This window comes from Homo sapiens, chromosome 8 (assembly GCF_000001405.40).
Source record: "Homo sapiens chromosome 8, GRCh38.p14 Primary Assembly".
NCBI classification, from domain to species: Eukaryota; Metazoa; Chordata; class Mammalia; order Primates; family Hominidae; genus Homo; species Homo sapiens.
In genome coordinates, this window is record NC_000008.11 from 39,731,925 (window position 1) to 39,748,468 (window position 16,544).

At 34.1% G+C, this 16,544-nt stretch overlaps 1 protein-coding gene across 6 annotated transcripts in view; it reads right to left on the minus strand.

The window, feature by feature from the left end:
- Positions 1 to 11,810: 11,810 nt before the first annotated feature.
- The window catches only part of ADAM2 (ADAM metallopeptidase domain 2), a 94,493-nt gene continuing 89,759 nt past the window's right edge, over positions 11,811 to 16,544 (minus strand). For all 6 annotated transcript variants that reach the window (NM_001437784.1, XM_011544479.1, NM_001278113.2 and 3 more), the window contains 3 exons: positions 14,548 to 14,707; positions 12,906 to 12,969; positions 11,811 to 12,140 (listed from right to left, as the gene is read on the minus strand). In NM_001437784.1, the coding sequence (NP_001424713.1) occupies positions 12,936 to 12,969; positions 14,548 to 14,707 (194 nt within the window). In that variant the 3' untranslated portion in view covers positions 11,811 to 12,140; positions 12,906 to 12,935. The remainder of the gene's footprint in view (positions 12,141 to 12,905; positions 12,970 to 14,547; positions 14,708 to 16,544) is intronic.

A 16,544-nucleotide genomic window follows, 5' to 3' on the forward strand; every position in this document is an offset into this window, starting at 1 on the left:
AAAAAGCTTTGATATAGCAAAAGAAACAGTCAATAGAGTGAAGAGACAACCTATATAATAGGAAATATTTGCAAATTATACATCAGGTAAGGGGTTAATATCCAAAATTTATAGGTGACTAAACTCAATAACAAGAAAACAAATAATATTATTTTGAAATGGGCAAAGGACCTGAATCGACATTTCTCAAAAGAAGCCATCCAAATGGCCAAGAATTGTATGAAAAAATGGTCAGCATCACTATCATCAGGGAAATGCCAGTGAAAATCACATGCAATGTAATGTCACTGCACACCTGTAGAATGGATCCTTTATTGACAAAAAAGTGCACAATTAAACATTTATGCTAAGAGATTTTTTCATACAAATTCTTAGAATTAGAAAATTTAGCAAAAGATACTTGAGCTCTGAAAAATTAATTAATACCATATGTACGATAATGGTTAGAAAGCTGAAAAGTGTTAAAGGAAGTGACACATCCAAGTCTCAATCACTTACTGGCTGTGTTTCAAAACAATTCTAATTTTCTTAACAGTAAAATAGGTAAAGTTATACCTAACTTGTGAGTATGCTGTGAGACTTTATGAGATATTTTATAAGGCGTTTAACCATGATACATAAAACTTGTTTTTCACATTTTTTGTTATTATGAGTAAGGTACAGGTAAGTTATGTTGTTGAAATATAGATTTGTGCCTTAAGCAACTGTGTATATTGTGATGCCATTACTTGATATCCAGAATGTAGAAGGCAAAATATATGTCTTTATTCTCAAACAATAGGATAAAAGAGGAAAGGAAAATATTTCATTGGCTTGTTTCCTATACAGTTTGTATCAAATACAGTTATAAGATACATCATGAAGTTCTACATATGAAAACCAATCCATGTAATAGAATGAAAGAAAAAAACCACATGGTCATCCTAAGTGAAGGAGAATAAGCATTTGATAAAATTCAGTATACTTAATGATAAAAAAGCCTCAAGAAGCTAGGAATAGAGGGAAACTATCACAAAATAGTTAAAAGTATATATGATAAACCCACAATGAATATCATATGTAATGGTGAGAGTGAAAACATTTACTCCAAGATCAGGAACAAGGTAATGATGTCCACTTTCACTGCTTCTATTCAACACAGTACTGGAAGATCTACTTAGAGCAATTAAGCAAGACAAAAAGCATCCAAACTGGAAAGACAAAGTAAAATCTCTGTTCTCAGTGGTAGAATCTTATCTATAGAGAACACTACACACAAATGCACACACATCCACACACACACACACACACACACACCATGCTATAACTAATAAATTCAGTGCAGTAGCAGGATACCAAATCAACACCCAAAAATTAGTTGCTTTTGCCCAGGCATGTGGTTCACATTTGTGATCTCAGCTACTTGGGAGGCTGAGGCAGGAGGATTGCTTGAGGGAAGAAGTTCAAGACCAACCTGGGCAAAATAGCAAGAAGTCATCTCTAAAACAAATTTTTTAAAAAATTAGCTGGCCCTGATGGCACACTTGTAGCCGAAAGGATCGCTTAACCCCAGGAGTTCAGGCCGCAGTGAGTTGAGATCATACCACTGCACTCCAGCCTAGGTGACAAAGCAAGACCTCATCTTGGAAAACAAAAGGAAAAAACTGTTGCATTTATTTACACTAACAATAAACAATCTAAAAGGGAAATTAAAAATTAAATATACAATAGCATTAAATAGAATGAAATAATTACAAATAAATTTAACCAAAGAGCTGCTGAAAGATGTGTACAATGAAATCTACAAAATATTGTTTAAAGAAAGTAAAGACATAAGTAAATGGAAAGTTATCCCATGTGCATGGATTAGAAGACTTTATATTTAAGATGCCAGTATTATGTAAATTGATCAGATTAAATGCAATCCCAAACAGAATCCTAATGGCTTTCATGCAGGAATAGAAAAACTTATTCTAAAATTTATATGGAATCTCAAAGGATTCTGACTAGCCAAAATAGTTCTGAAAAAGAACAAAGTTGGAGGACTCACACTTTCTGATTTTAAAATTACCTAAAAATCTACAGAAATTAATACAGCTGGATGTAAAGACAGATATACAGACCAAAGTAACAGACTAGAAAGACCAGAAACAAACCTGCAGGAGTATAATTAAATGATCTTTAATAAAGTACCCAAGACAAATAGGGGAAGGGCAGTCTTTTAAACAAATCATGTTGGGAAAACTAGATTTCCACAAGCAAAAGGATAAAGTTGGACCCTTACCTAAGGCCACATACAAAAATTAACTCAAACTATATCAAAGACTTACATGTAAGGGTTAAAACTGTAGAAGCCTTAGAAAAAAATATAGGCCAAAAGCTTCATGATGTTTAATTTGGGAATGATTTATTGGAGATGATATCAAGGTACAAATAACAAAAGAAAAAAATAGACAAAACAGACCTTACAAAAATTAAAAACTTTTAAGCAAAAAAAAATAGAGTGAAAAGGCAACCAACAGAATGAGAGAAAATATTTATAAATCACAACTTATAATGGATTAATATCCAGAATAGATATACAACTTCTAAAATTCAGCAACTTCTAAAACTCAAAGCAAAAAAACAGTTCAAAAGGACTTGAATAGACATTTTTCCAAAGACAAACAAATGGCCAAATAAGCACATGAAAAGATGTTTAACTCCAGAAACATTAAACAAAAAAATACAGAATCCTGAAAATAGCAAAAGACAAATAACTTTGTCACATACAAACAATGCTGAATAAGAATAATAGTTGATTTATCATTAGAAACCATGGAGGCCACAAGAGAGTAAGATGAAATAGTCAAAGTTCTGAAGGAAAGAAATGATCAATCAATAATTCTATATTGAGCAAAACCATCCTTCAAAAATGAAGAAGAAATTAAGACATTCTCAGACAGACAAAAACTGAGAGAATTTGGCACTAGCAGAGCTACCCTATAAAAGAACTGAATCCATATGAACAAAAATTAGGCACCATTAAGGGTAACTATGAAGGTAAATATAAAAGACAATATAAGTTTATTTTGGTTGTAATTTTCATATCCTATCTTATTCAAAAGACAGCTACATAAAGCAATAATTATGAATCTAAATTGATGGGTACACAATAGTAAGTATGTAATTTGTGACAATAAGACAAAGTATACTGGAGCAGAGGACAGAGCTACATATAAGCTAAGCCTGTATACTATTGAAATTAAATTGGCATTACTTCAAACTACATTGTTATAAATTTAAGATATTAATGTAAACCTCAGACCAGTCACTAAGGAGACAATTCAAAAATATATGTTAAAGAAAATAAAATTAAAATAGTAACTCAAAAATGTCCATTTACCTCAAAGAAAGCAGTAATGGAGGGAAAAAAGGAAGAGAAAAGACATAAGACACAGAGAAAACCCAGGGTCCTTTCCAAGATGGCTGAATAGGAACAACTGTGGTCTGCAGCTCCCAGTGTGATCGATGCAGAAGACAGGTGATTTCTGCATTTCCAACTAAGGTACCTGGTTCATCTCATTGGGACTGGTTGGAGAGTGGGTGCAGCCCACAGAGGGTGAGCTGAAGCAGGGTGGGGCATCGCCTCACCCAGGAAGCACAAGGGGTTAGGGGATTTTTCCTTTCCTAGCCAAGGGAAGCCATGACATACTGTACCTGGAAAAACGGGACAGTCTCACCCAAATACTGTGCTTTCCCATGGTCTTAACAACTGGCAGACCAGGAGATTCTTTCCCATGCCTGGCTCGGCAGGTCCCACACCTACGGAGCCTTGCTCACTGCTAGCGCAGCAGTCTGAGATCTACCTACAAGGCTGCAGCCTACACCTACAAAGAAACATAGACTCCTAGACAATAATAGTGGAAAAATTCAACACTCCACAAACAGCATTAGGCAGATCATCAAAGCAGAAAATTAATAGATATTCAGGACCTGAACTCAACATTGGACCAGATGTATCTGTTTGACATCTACAGAACTCTCCACTAGAAAATAACGGAATATACATTCTTCTCATTGCCACATGGCACATACTCTAAAGTCAACCACGTAATTGGACATAAAGCAATTCTTAGCAAATGCAAAAAAAAAAAAAAAAAAAAACAAATTATACCAAACACACTCTCAGACCACAGTGCAATAAAAATATAAGTCAAGACTAAGAAAACCACTCAAAACCATGCAATTACATGAAAATTAAACATGCTCATGAATGACATTTGGGTAAATAATAAAATTAAGGCAGAAATCAAGAAGTTCTTTGAAACAAATGAGAACAAAGATACAGTGATACGGTTTGGCTGTGCCCCACCCAAATCTTGAATTGTAGCTCCCATAATTCCCATGCGTCATGAGAGGGACCTGGTGAGAGGTAATTGAATCATGGGGGTGGGTATTTCTTGTGCTGTTCTCATGATAGTGAATAAGTCTCACAAGATCTGATGGTTTTATAAAGAGCAGTTCCCCTCCACATGCTCTTTCTTGCCTGCTGCCATGTAAGATATGGCTTTGCTCCTCTTTTGCCTTCTGCCATGATTTTGAGGCTTCCCCAGCCACGTGGAACTGTGAGTCCATTAAACCTCTTTTCCTTTATAAATTACTCAGTCTTCAGTATGTCTTTATTAGCAGCATGAGAACAGACTAATACAGTAAATTGGTACCAGTAGAGAGGGGTGCTGCTGTAAAGATACCCAAAAATGTGGAAGCGTCTTTGGAACTGGGTAACAGGCAGAGGTTGGAACAGTTTGGAGGGCTCAGAAGAAAAGAGGAAAATGTGGGAAAGTTGGGAACTTTCTAGAGACTTGTTGAATGACTGATGAAAATGCTGATAGTGTTATGAACAATGAAGTTCAGGTTGATGTGGTCCCAGATGGAGATGAGGAACTTGTTGGGAACTGGAGAAAAGGTGACTCTGTGCTTTAGCAAAGAGACTGGTGGCTTTTTGCCCTTGCCCTAGAGATACGTGAAATTTTGAACTTGAGAGAGATGATTTGGAGTATCTGGTGGAAGAAATTTCTAAGCAGCAATGGACTCAAGAGAAAGCAGAGCATAAAAGTTTGAAAAATTTGCAGCTTAATGATGTAATAGAAAAAGAAAAACCCATTTTCTGGGAAAAAGAAAATCAAGCCAGCTGCAGAAATTTGCACAAGTAATGAGAAGCTGAATGTTAATCATCAGGACAATGGGGAAAATGTCTCCAGGCTATGTCAGAGAACTTCTTGGTGGAGTTAGTCAGAGGGTTGTTGTAGTGTAGGTCAGAAAAGTAAATCTCATGTAAGTTGTCTTTGTTTTGTGTTGCTATAAAGGAATATGTGAGACTGGGTACTTTTTTTTTTTTATTATAAAAAGGTTTATTCTGCTCACAATTCTGTTGGATGCAAGATTGATCTCTGGTGAAATCCTCAGGTGCTTTTACTCATGGTGGAAGGTAAATGGGAACAGGCACGTGCAAATCTCACATGGTGAGAGAGGAAGCGAGACATAGGGGGAGGTGCCAGGCTCTTATTAACAACCGGCTCTTATAGGAACTAATAAGGGAGAACACACCCGTTACCATGAGGATGGCACCCAGTAATTCATGAGGGATCTGCCCCCATGACCCAAACACCTCCCATTAGGACCCACTTCTAATACTGGAAATCAAATTTCAACATGACGTTTTGGGTGGACAAACATCCAAACTATAGTATTAGGTCTTAATGTCAATCAATATAACTTACACTTTAAAAGACTAATTTTTTGCAAATAGATTATAGATAGGCAAGGGGAAAAGTGGATGAAGCAAGTATGGGGGCTGTAACAATAGTCAAGGAGAGTAACGACGGTGGTTCAAACTAGGAATGGTAAGTGTAGTCAAAGTTTGAATATTTTTTGAAAGTAAACCAATGGAGATAATTGACAAATTGAATGATTACTGTGACATCATTACTTTATAATCCAGCAATTTCACTTCTAGGTAAATATCCAAGAGAAATAGAAACATATGTCCACAAAAAACTGGTACATTAGAGTTCATAGCAGCATTATTCATAATAGAGAAAAAGTGGAAAGAGTCCAAATGTCTGTCAACTGATATATAACAAATAAAAATATAATAATGAATGGATGAAATGTACTTTATTTACAAAATGTGGTGTAACAATGAAATGCTGCATTTTTGGCCAGGTACGGTGGCTCACACCTGTAATCCCAGCACTTTGGGAGGCTGAGGTGGGTGGATCACCTGAGGTCAGGAGTTTGAAACCAGCCTAGTCAGCATGGTAAACCCCCTCTCTACTAAAAATACAAAAATTAGCCAGGCGTGGTGAGGGGTGCCTGTAATCCCTGCTACCTGGGGGGCTGAGGCAGGAGAATTACTTGAACCTGGGAGACAGAGGTTGCAGTGAGCTGAGATCATGTCACTGCACTCCAGCCTGGGCAAAAGAACAAGACTCTGTATCAAAAAAAAAAAAAAAAAGAAAGAAAGAAAAAGAAAAGAAATGTTGCATTGTCATTTTGACACTGTAACAGCACAGTGGAGGATTTGCAACAGAAGCCATGTGACTCATAATGCCAAAAACGTTTATTATCTGGCTCTTTACAGAAAAAAATGTATGCTAACCACTGGACTAAATACAAGTTATGTGATAACTGATTGAATTAGAAAGCAAGGCCCATATGTATGCCTCTATGATAAACCTCTTTTAAATATAAAAATTTAGATAGGTCAAAAGTAAAAAGACAAATGTATCAGGCAAACACTAATTAAAGTAGGTCCAGGTACTTATCCTAATTTCAGATAAAATAGATATTCCAACAGACAGTTTTCAGAGAAAAAGGAGACATTACAAATTATAAGGGGAAAATTCTCCAAGAAGACATAACAATACTAAATGTGTATGCTTGACAGAAAACTGACAGATCTGAAAAGAGAAACAGACACGTCCTCAATTATAGTTGTAGATTTCATTATTCCTCTTTCAATATCTGTTAGAACTGCTGAGAAGAAAATCAGTAAAGATATAGATGATGTGAAGAAAGCCATCAAGCGAATTGATCTAATTGGCATTCAGACACCCAACATCCGGATACACAATCTTCTCAAGTGCACATGGACCATTCACCAAGATAGATCATATTTTGGACCATAAAATAAATAATTACTACTTTGGAAATTTTCTTGCTGCTTTAACTGCACTGTAAGAAATTTGCAGAAGAACAATGATCGCAAGTAATTTATAATTAAATGTTCCTAACCAGTGATGAGAAAGTCAGTGGCGGATTATACAGGGAGGGTAGATTTATTTTACAAATAAACTGGGAGAACTCTATTCTTATATCTGTGGATGCCTGAATGTTTAGCTGTGACTCTTGACTTAAGTGAGAGAAGGAATATGTATAATTTGCTGTTTAAGGTATAATTCCCTGAAAACCTCCAGGACCAATTGACTTACCTGGAAAACCTGGTTATACAACCTGGATTTTCATTCTGTACATAAATGCATAAAGGCTCCACTGGGAACTTCTTTCATGAGCTTTCCTAGAGACAGAATTTATTCCACAAACCTTTGTCATTTCATGAAGAGATTAAGCCATGAGTCTCTGTGTACAGATATTAATAAGAACCCCAGGGACTTTGCATGTGGATGTCTATTGGATCCCTGGGGCTCACCAGCACTCTCTCTTGTGACACCAAATCCTTCGTCTTTGAATAGAACATTTAATATGAGTATGCTCTACTGAGGCTTTGAGTCCCATCAAATATCCAATCTTAAATATCTTTATATGGGCCGAATCTGTAAATTATGTTCTCATCTTGAAACATATGAGCCTGAGAGAGATTCTGATAAAGATTTTATATTTCAAATGTATTGTAAATTTATAGTGTTCCTTGCTGAGGCAATTACTAATCATATTAAATTATTCCATGTTCTAGTGTTGTTTAGCCTTTATTATCTCTAAGTTCTTAAGACTGTGAAAGATTGCTTAGTACCAAATAAATAGGTAGGGAGGTAGAGATATAGATAGATAGATAGATAGATAGATAGATAGAGATGGTAGATTTAGATAAATACATTATAACTGACACAAAAGTTTCTGAGAAAGGAAGTTTACTTCATATTTAGCTTTGCATCTAACGAAGCAGTGCATTTAAAAAGAAAATGAGAATTAAAACTCTGACCACAACCATTTCCTTAATTAAAGTAATGTTCTCTTATTGCCCCGGTGGAATTCTTTATTGCCTAATGTTTGATATTGAGGAGGGCATGGACCATTCTAAAAGTTCTCATTTAGTATAGCTGCAAAAATTAGTTAAAGGGTAAACTTTAATCAATGTCCTTCCCCTTCCTCCCATGAAAAGGACAATACACCCCATTCACACATAACACCCATACCAATTATATGTTCGGGTAAAAAGAAAGTAACCATGGTGCAGTCTTTAGAATCAAACTTTACTATCTGTAATTTCACATTTCCACTATGGTATTTCCATTTCACTCACATACATCTTAGGTCCTTCTTGTCTCTCGGAGGGATTACGGTACATTGAGTTCTTGTAGGTAACAGTTCTAAGATAATTTGCATACCAACTCAGGCCACTTTACTCAAACTATTGATTCTGCCCCAAAAAAGGCTGGACCAATATATTTTGGCCTCCCTGTCAGTCTTTTTCAGATTTATGGCTTTAAATTGGTTATTAAATTCAGCTCATTCTTTAACTATTTTCTGTTCTAAATTACAGTCCTCATGATTAGATTTGAACTCCACTGGACTAGAATAGATAAATTTCATATGCCATTGGTCTATGAGTTGGGGTTGGCGCTGGAGCAGGTCACTTACCTCTCAAATATTGATAAAGTGCTATCAACTTCTTAGTAGAAACTTCATTTATTTCTTTTTTTTTAACCACATATTTAAAACTAATGAAACAATTTCAGTCAGTGGGCCTGTTATTATGTCTACTTTATCTTTTCCTTTTTGTATTAAGTCCACTTTTTTTCAATTGACAGATAAAATTGCATGTACTTATCATTGTAACATAATGTTTGGAAACATGTATACATTGTGGAGTGATTAAATGTAACTAACTGATAAATTCATTATCCCAAATAGTTAACATTATTGTGGTGCAAACACAATCTGCTTTCTGTGTTTTTCAATAATAAAATACACCATCATTGACTATAGTCAACACGATAGATCTCTTGAGAATATTCCCCCTATTTAACTGTAAATATGTACCCTTGGACCAACATTTCCCCAAACCCCTTTTGTCTTCTAATCACTTCAGCTTCTGGTAACCATCATTCTACTCTCTACTTCTATGAAATCAGTATTTATAGATCCCACATGAGTGAGATGATGTGATATTTGTCTTTCTGTGGCTTCTTTTACTTAACGTCATGGCCTCTAGTTCATAAATGTTGTAGCAAATGAGATAATTTCCCTTTTTATGGCTGAATTATTGTATATATGTACTGTATTTTCTTTATCCATTCATTGGTTGATGGACATTTAGCTTGATTCCATATCTTGACCCTATTGTGTGTGCTGCAGTAAACCAGGTAGTGCAGACATCTATTCAACATACTGATTTTATTTACTTTGAATACATAACCAGTGGTGGGACTGCTGAGTCATACAGTACTTCTATGTTTAATTTTTTGAGGAACCTCCATACTGTTTTCTATAATGATTGTATTAATTTATATTCCCAACAACAGTGTATAAGTGTTCTGTTTTTTCTGCATCCTCATCTGTACTTGTTATCTTTTATCTTTTGATAACAGCCAATCTAACATTATATCTTATTGTGGTTTTGATATACATTTTCTGATGAGTAGTGATATTGAGCATTTTTTAGTTTACCTGTTGGCCATTTGTATGTATTCTTTTGAGAAAGTCTATTCCTTTATTGTGTCCATTGTTTAATTAGGCTATTTGTCTTCTTGGTGTTTGAGTTTGTTAATATTTTGAATATTAACTTATTATCAGATGTATAGTTTGCCAATCTTTTCTCTTTTTCTTTAAGCTGTCACCTCACTCTGTTGAGTCTCATTTGCTGTACAGAAGCTTTTTAGTATGGTGCAATTCTATTTGTCTATTTTTGCATTTGTTGTCTGTACTTTGAGGTCATATTCCAAAAAGTCTTTACCCAGACTAAATGTCGTGGAGCTTTTCCCCTATGTTTTTCTTCCCCTATACTTTTACAATTTCAGGTCTTATATTTAAGTCTTTGATTCATTTTGAGATAATTTATGTATATATTAGATCCTATATATCTAAGATATATAGGATCTAATTTCATTCTTCTGCATATAGGTAACCAGTTTTGTCAACATCATTTGTTGAAGAAACTTTTCCTCATATGTATTCTTGGTGCCTTTGTCGAAAATCAGTTGGCTGTAAATGCACAGATTTATTTCTTGGCTCTCTATTCTGTTCCATTGGTCTACATGTCTGCTTTTATGCCAGTACCATGGTGTTTGCACATTTTGAAGTTAGGTAGTGTGATTTACTTACAAATTACCCAGCCTCAGCCGGGCGTGGTGGCTCACGCCTGTAATCCCAGCACTTTGGGAGGCCAAGGCGGGCGGATCACCTGAGGTCAGGAGTTCAAGACCAGCCTGGCCAACATGGCGAAACCCCATCTGTATTAAACATACACACATTATTCGGGCGTAGTGGTGTGCGCCTGTAATCCCAGCTAATCGGGAGGCTGACGCAGGAGAATCACTTGAACCTGGGAGGCAGAGGCTGCAGTGAGCCAAGATCATGCCATTGGCACTCCAGCCTAGGCAACAAGGGTGAAATTCTGTCTCAAAAAAAAAAAAAATCCAGCCTCAGGTTTTTCTTTATAGCAATGCAAGAATGGCCTAACACTATCTTTAATTTCTTTTAATAGTAATTTGTCATTTTGTATGTATAGGTGTCATAGTTTTCCTAGAATGGTTATTTCCAAGGATTTAATATGTTTAGTGCTAATGTAAATAATATTCTTTTAAATATTCTAGTGTTTACATTTTTATTTTATATGTAAATGGGATACTTGTGTATTAAATTTACACCCAATGGATTTTTCAGATTCACTTGGTAGTTAAAATATTTTATCTATAGATTATCTTGGATTTTCTGTGTTTATATTATAATAAGATTTTCTTTGTATAAAGATTCCTATTTAAAGTTTATTTTTTACTTTTTTGTAGCCATATTTACTGACTACTATTTCCACAAAGATATATAAAAATGTTAATAGTGAATTTTCTTAACTTCTTCACAATATTAGGAGGAAAGACTAGAAAATTCAATATTAATTATTTTCATTATATAAATGTTTTGTTGATCCCTTTCATCAGATTAAAAAACTTCAAATCTATTTCTAGTATCTTAAAATCTGTGTGTCTTGCGTGAGTATATGCTTATAAATCAGATAATTGAGTCAAATAGTTTGACTGTTTTAGATACCTCATATAAATGGAATCATGCAATATTTGCCTTTTTGTGATTGGCTTATTACACTTAGCATAACGTCCTTAAATTTCACCCATGTTACTGCATATAACAAGATTTCCTTCTTTTTTCAGGCTGAATAATCCTTGTCATGTTTTGTTACTAATTTTTGCTGACCTCATGAAAGGAATCAGCATGTGTAGGACTGAAATAATATCATCCTTTACTTTAAATGTTTATATACTTGAAAATGTATCTTTTTTCAGCAGCATATGGTGAAAAATTTTTCCAAATTTTAGGATCATTGCCTTTGATTGATTTCAGACCATCACACTATAACATAACACATACCATTGCAATTTGAAATGTAACAGTGGCTTTTAATCATAGTACCACCTCATTACATTATGATATTTCCTTATACCATGCCCCTACTGACAGAATTAGTGTCTACTAACCAACAGAAATAGCGTAAGATAACTTTAAAAAAACAGAAATTTGTAATGTAAAACTCATTATCATGCATTTTTAAATAAGTAAATTATCTGTGAAATTATACATATATATCATATTTTCTGGTCAAATTAAAATCACAATATGCAGGTTTGAATCCCAGGAAACCAGGTAATGTACATTCTTTTCTTTCCATTTTTTTGTGTCCATCCATCACAGATAATTACTCTAGAAGACTGAATAAATGAAAAAAAAAGTCACCGTTATCAACAAGTTGAAATGATAGCTAGTTCAACAAATAGCATGCAAGTAACCTTATTGCAAAGTAGACTTATATCATGCAATTTATTTTTAGCCAACATTTTAAATATACAAATGCTAAAGAAGTAAAATTAACTAAAGAAAATAATTAAAAAATAACACTGTAATAAATTTTTAAGTGGAAAATTTCAAAATCATTTATAACTTGATCATGTCTATTATAAATTCTGAAAAATATAATTCCGAAAAATAGTCTCCAATTTATTTTTATTATATATAGCTATATGACTGTCACTACTTAATATATATTTATTTAATATATTACGTTCTTTCTCTCTCCTCCCCCCAACCCCCCCATCCTTAAAATATTTGGAACTCACTCATGTCCTTTGCAGGGACATGGATGAAGCTGGAAGCCATCATTCTCAACAAACACACACAGGAACATAAAACCAAACACCGCATGTTCTCACTCATAAGTGGGAGCTGAATCATGAAAACACATGGACACAGGGAGGGGAACATCACACACCAGAACCTGTCGGGGGTTGGGAGGCAAGGGGAGGAAGAGCATTGAGACCAATACCTAATGCATGTGGGGCTTAAAACCTAGATGACGGGTTGATAGGTGCAGCAAACCACCATGGCACATGTATACCTATGTAACAAACCTGCACATTCTGCACCTGTGTCCCAGTACTTAAAGTAAAATAAATTTTAAAAAAATGAAAGAAACTCACAGTGATATCATGGCATCTCTGTTGTCCAGACTACCCTTTAGGTTCACTCTCACTTTCAGGTTGCCTGCATATTAAAAATAAAAATAATATTATACTTTCTTCAAGATGATTTTACAAACCTCTGTATTATCTGTCAGTCTTGAAACAGTTCTGAATTTTTACCTAAGAACTGGGTTCACCCATTATTTGAGAATACCCTATCACTGAGAACATCTCTGCCCTGGTAATCAAGACTAATAATGAACATCTTTGCATCAGTGAATATGAAAAAAAAGCACAGTGATATATGTTTACCCGAAAAGAAACTTAGATCATTGTTATATTCATAGTATTATTGGTTAAGTATCTTTAAACTTTTTGCCATTCATTTTCAACCCTATTAATTTCTATTCATTTTACTAGCTATGCTTTTTTCCCTGAAGATATTTGATATCAGTTATTCCACAATAGTTATCCAATATAAGAAAACCACTTTAGTATATTTAAATAATGACTAAGTTATTACTCGTTTAGGTGCTGTATATTATTTCAGCAATTTCAAATCAACTTTTAAAATATATTCCATTTTCATTTACATTGTCATTTTAAGTATTTTAATGAAATTCAATTCATTTCAAGTAAAATGAAGGACATAGTTATATAACTCCCAGGGAGAAATCATTTGGTAGCATTTTCCTTGAAAATAAATAAACCAGTTTTAATGTTTACTTGTATTTTTATAGCACATATTCAGATATTTTTATTTTTAATAGAAGTTATTTGTTTTATATTTTCTGTAGACTAGCTGTGGCTATCATCTAGATTTTTAAGTCTTTTATTACTTATTAACTTTTAATCTTTTTCTACTTCTAATTGCTGTGCTTCAATTTACATTACTACCAAAAAAAAGCTAAATTACTTTCCTGGGTTTTCCTACTACCTTTCATTAAAATAGCATAAAAATTCACTAAGATATAGAAATATTACAAAGTTATTTAAGTATTATTAAGTTAAAATACATATTTAACAAGATCAAATAATAAAAGAAGATAGATAAACTTTAAAGATAAACTTTAAACTTGAATGGACAGCTAAACTTTAGCTAATCTTGCCCCTAAAAAGTCCAGATTCTTATAAGATTAAAATTGCAATTATTATATGTGTATATATGCATGTGTATGTGTGTGTGTGTGTGCATGTGTGTGTGTGTATATATATATAATTTTTTCTTTTTTGAGTCTCAGTCTCACTCTGTTGCCTAGGCTAGAGTGCAGTGGCACAATCTCGGCTCACTGCAGCCTCTGCCTCCCAGGCTCAAGTGATCCTCCCACCTCAGCCTCCTGAGTAGCTGGGACTATAGGTGCATGCCACCACGCCTGGCTAATTTTTGTATATTTTTGGAGAGATGGGGTTTCATCATGTTGCCCAGGCTTGTCTTGAACTCCTGGCTTTAAGTGATCCACTCGCCTTGGCCTCAGAAAGTGGTGGGATGACAGGCGTGAGCCACCACCCCTGGCCATTAGTTATTAATATATGAGTTATTAAATTCCCATATAAAGACAATAATTGAATTTGAATTATTACTCATTACATCGACCACATTGCTATTTACTATGTTCATAAATTATACAAATAACAAATCTTAAATATGAAATCAATATACTCATCGCTTGAATAGTCCTCAGTTCTCCATTTTTTCCTTTGGAAATTAACTTTCACCATTATAGCAATCAGTACACAGAAAATAATAAAGAAAGGAATGAATAAGAAAAATGGCCATCTCATTGGTTTGGAATGGTAAATGTTCTCAATGTAGCGCCTTTCTAGAAGAAAAAAAAATCAAAGATTTGAAAGCAAGCACCAGAAATATAGTAAAGATATTTCTGTATTTTACTACGTCTACCAAAATAAAATCTTTGAACAATTTAATAATTTAAAAATTAACATATTTTCTATGAAATAGATAACTTGAAAATATAAATGCCCAAAGTGACTCTTGTAACTCTTTTTAAAATGGATAGCTATATATGGTGGGCTGATACTTTGCTGAGGATTTTTGTATCTCTGTTCATGAAGAATTTTTTTTGTGATTTTCTTCTTTGTTGAGTTCCTTGTTTGAATTTGGCATCAGGATTATGTTTTCCTCATACAATGAGTTGACAGGAACTTCCCCACCACTGTTTTCTGAAAATAATATTGCTTTCTTCCAAGAATTTGGTTCAGTTCACCTGTGAAACCATCTATGCCTATAGTTTTTTGTTGTCGTTTATTTTTGTTGGTGGTGACCTAAAAAATCATAAACCCACAGATTAAGAAGTGTGGTTTCTGACTTTTTGTTTATGCCCTTTGGTTTATAATCCAAATAGTCCTTTTCACATCTGACTACCTTTATCAGCCTGTTTCTTGCCTATAGTTGATTGGGGACCAATGAACGTACATGCTACCTTGATCACTTTCAGTCTGAGCTAATATAATTCCTTGAATTTCTCATGTATCAAATAAAAACACAATCCATTAAACAAAGGCCACACTCGCAAATCTCTTTGACATAAGCCTTTCTCTGTATTGGATCCTGTGAGGCTGTTATGAAATGACCAGTTTAAAATTCTTAGTAGCCTTACTGTTTGAAACTTTTTATGATGCATTTACATAAAATACTTAGAAGGCCTTTTGTATAGAAGAAAGAGTCTCTAAGATATATCAACTTAAGTTTTTCTGAGATTTTAACAGAGGTGTTTACAGTCAAAGGCCTTGCTTAATTTTGATTTGAGATAAAATTTTATTGCTCTAATCTCAAATTTGGCCTTTCATTGTTTCTTACTTTAAGAAACTTGTGGAGAATGAAAATTAGTTTTACTTTCAAACCAATAAAATCCTTGCTTGGACCAATGTCCTAGAGTGCCTTATTAACATTTTCTTCCAGTAGTTTCATAGTAGGCATGAGTTCAATTTTCCACATTACCAAAGGCAGCAGTGATGCCAAACAATTTACCACTTCATAATAATGGTTTCACTTTCTGCAACGTGTTTTTAAACTGTCCTTGAATTGCTCACCAACTTCAACATGTACTAAGACTTCAATAGTTTCCTGCCTTTCTGTCTTCCATGCACTATCCAATTTCAAAGCTAAGGTCACATTTTATATTTCTATTACACAACATATTGGGAGCTAAATGTTTTTTATTATTTATTGCTGTATAAGAAATTACCTCAAGGCTTAGTAACTTAAAACACTAGATTTTGCTCACAATTTTGTTGGTTATGAATTTGAGGAGGGCTTATTAGATGGTTGTATTTTTGTTTCTGAGTGCAATCAAATTTCAAATATTGCTGATAATTTTCAAGAAGTGAATGAGAGAATGAGATTTCAGGGAATGAGAGAAGTAAGGGCTGCAAAATACCTGGCTAGAGTCTGTAGGAAGACCACGAGAGTCCTAGAATGTTAGTTCTTCACATTTTATTGATCAATCATACCACTAAAACCAACCTGGAAAGGAGTGGTCTCCACTGCTCATTGGGAAATGGCATGTGTGTGCATGAATAGAAACAATTAATTGCAGCCAATGGGAAGATAAGCTAATTGTTGCTAGTAAAATGGAAATAGCTTGAAAATACATTAATTACAAAGTTTTAAACTTACTAATCTATTACTATATAACA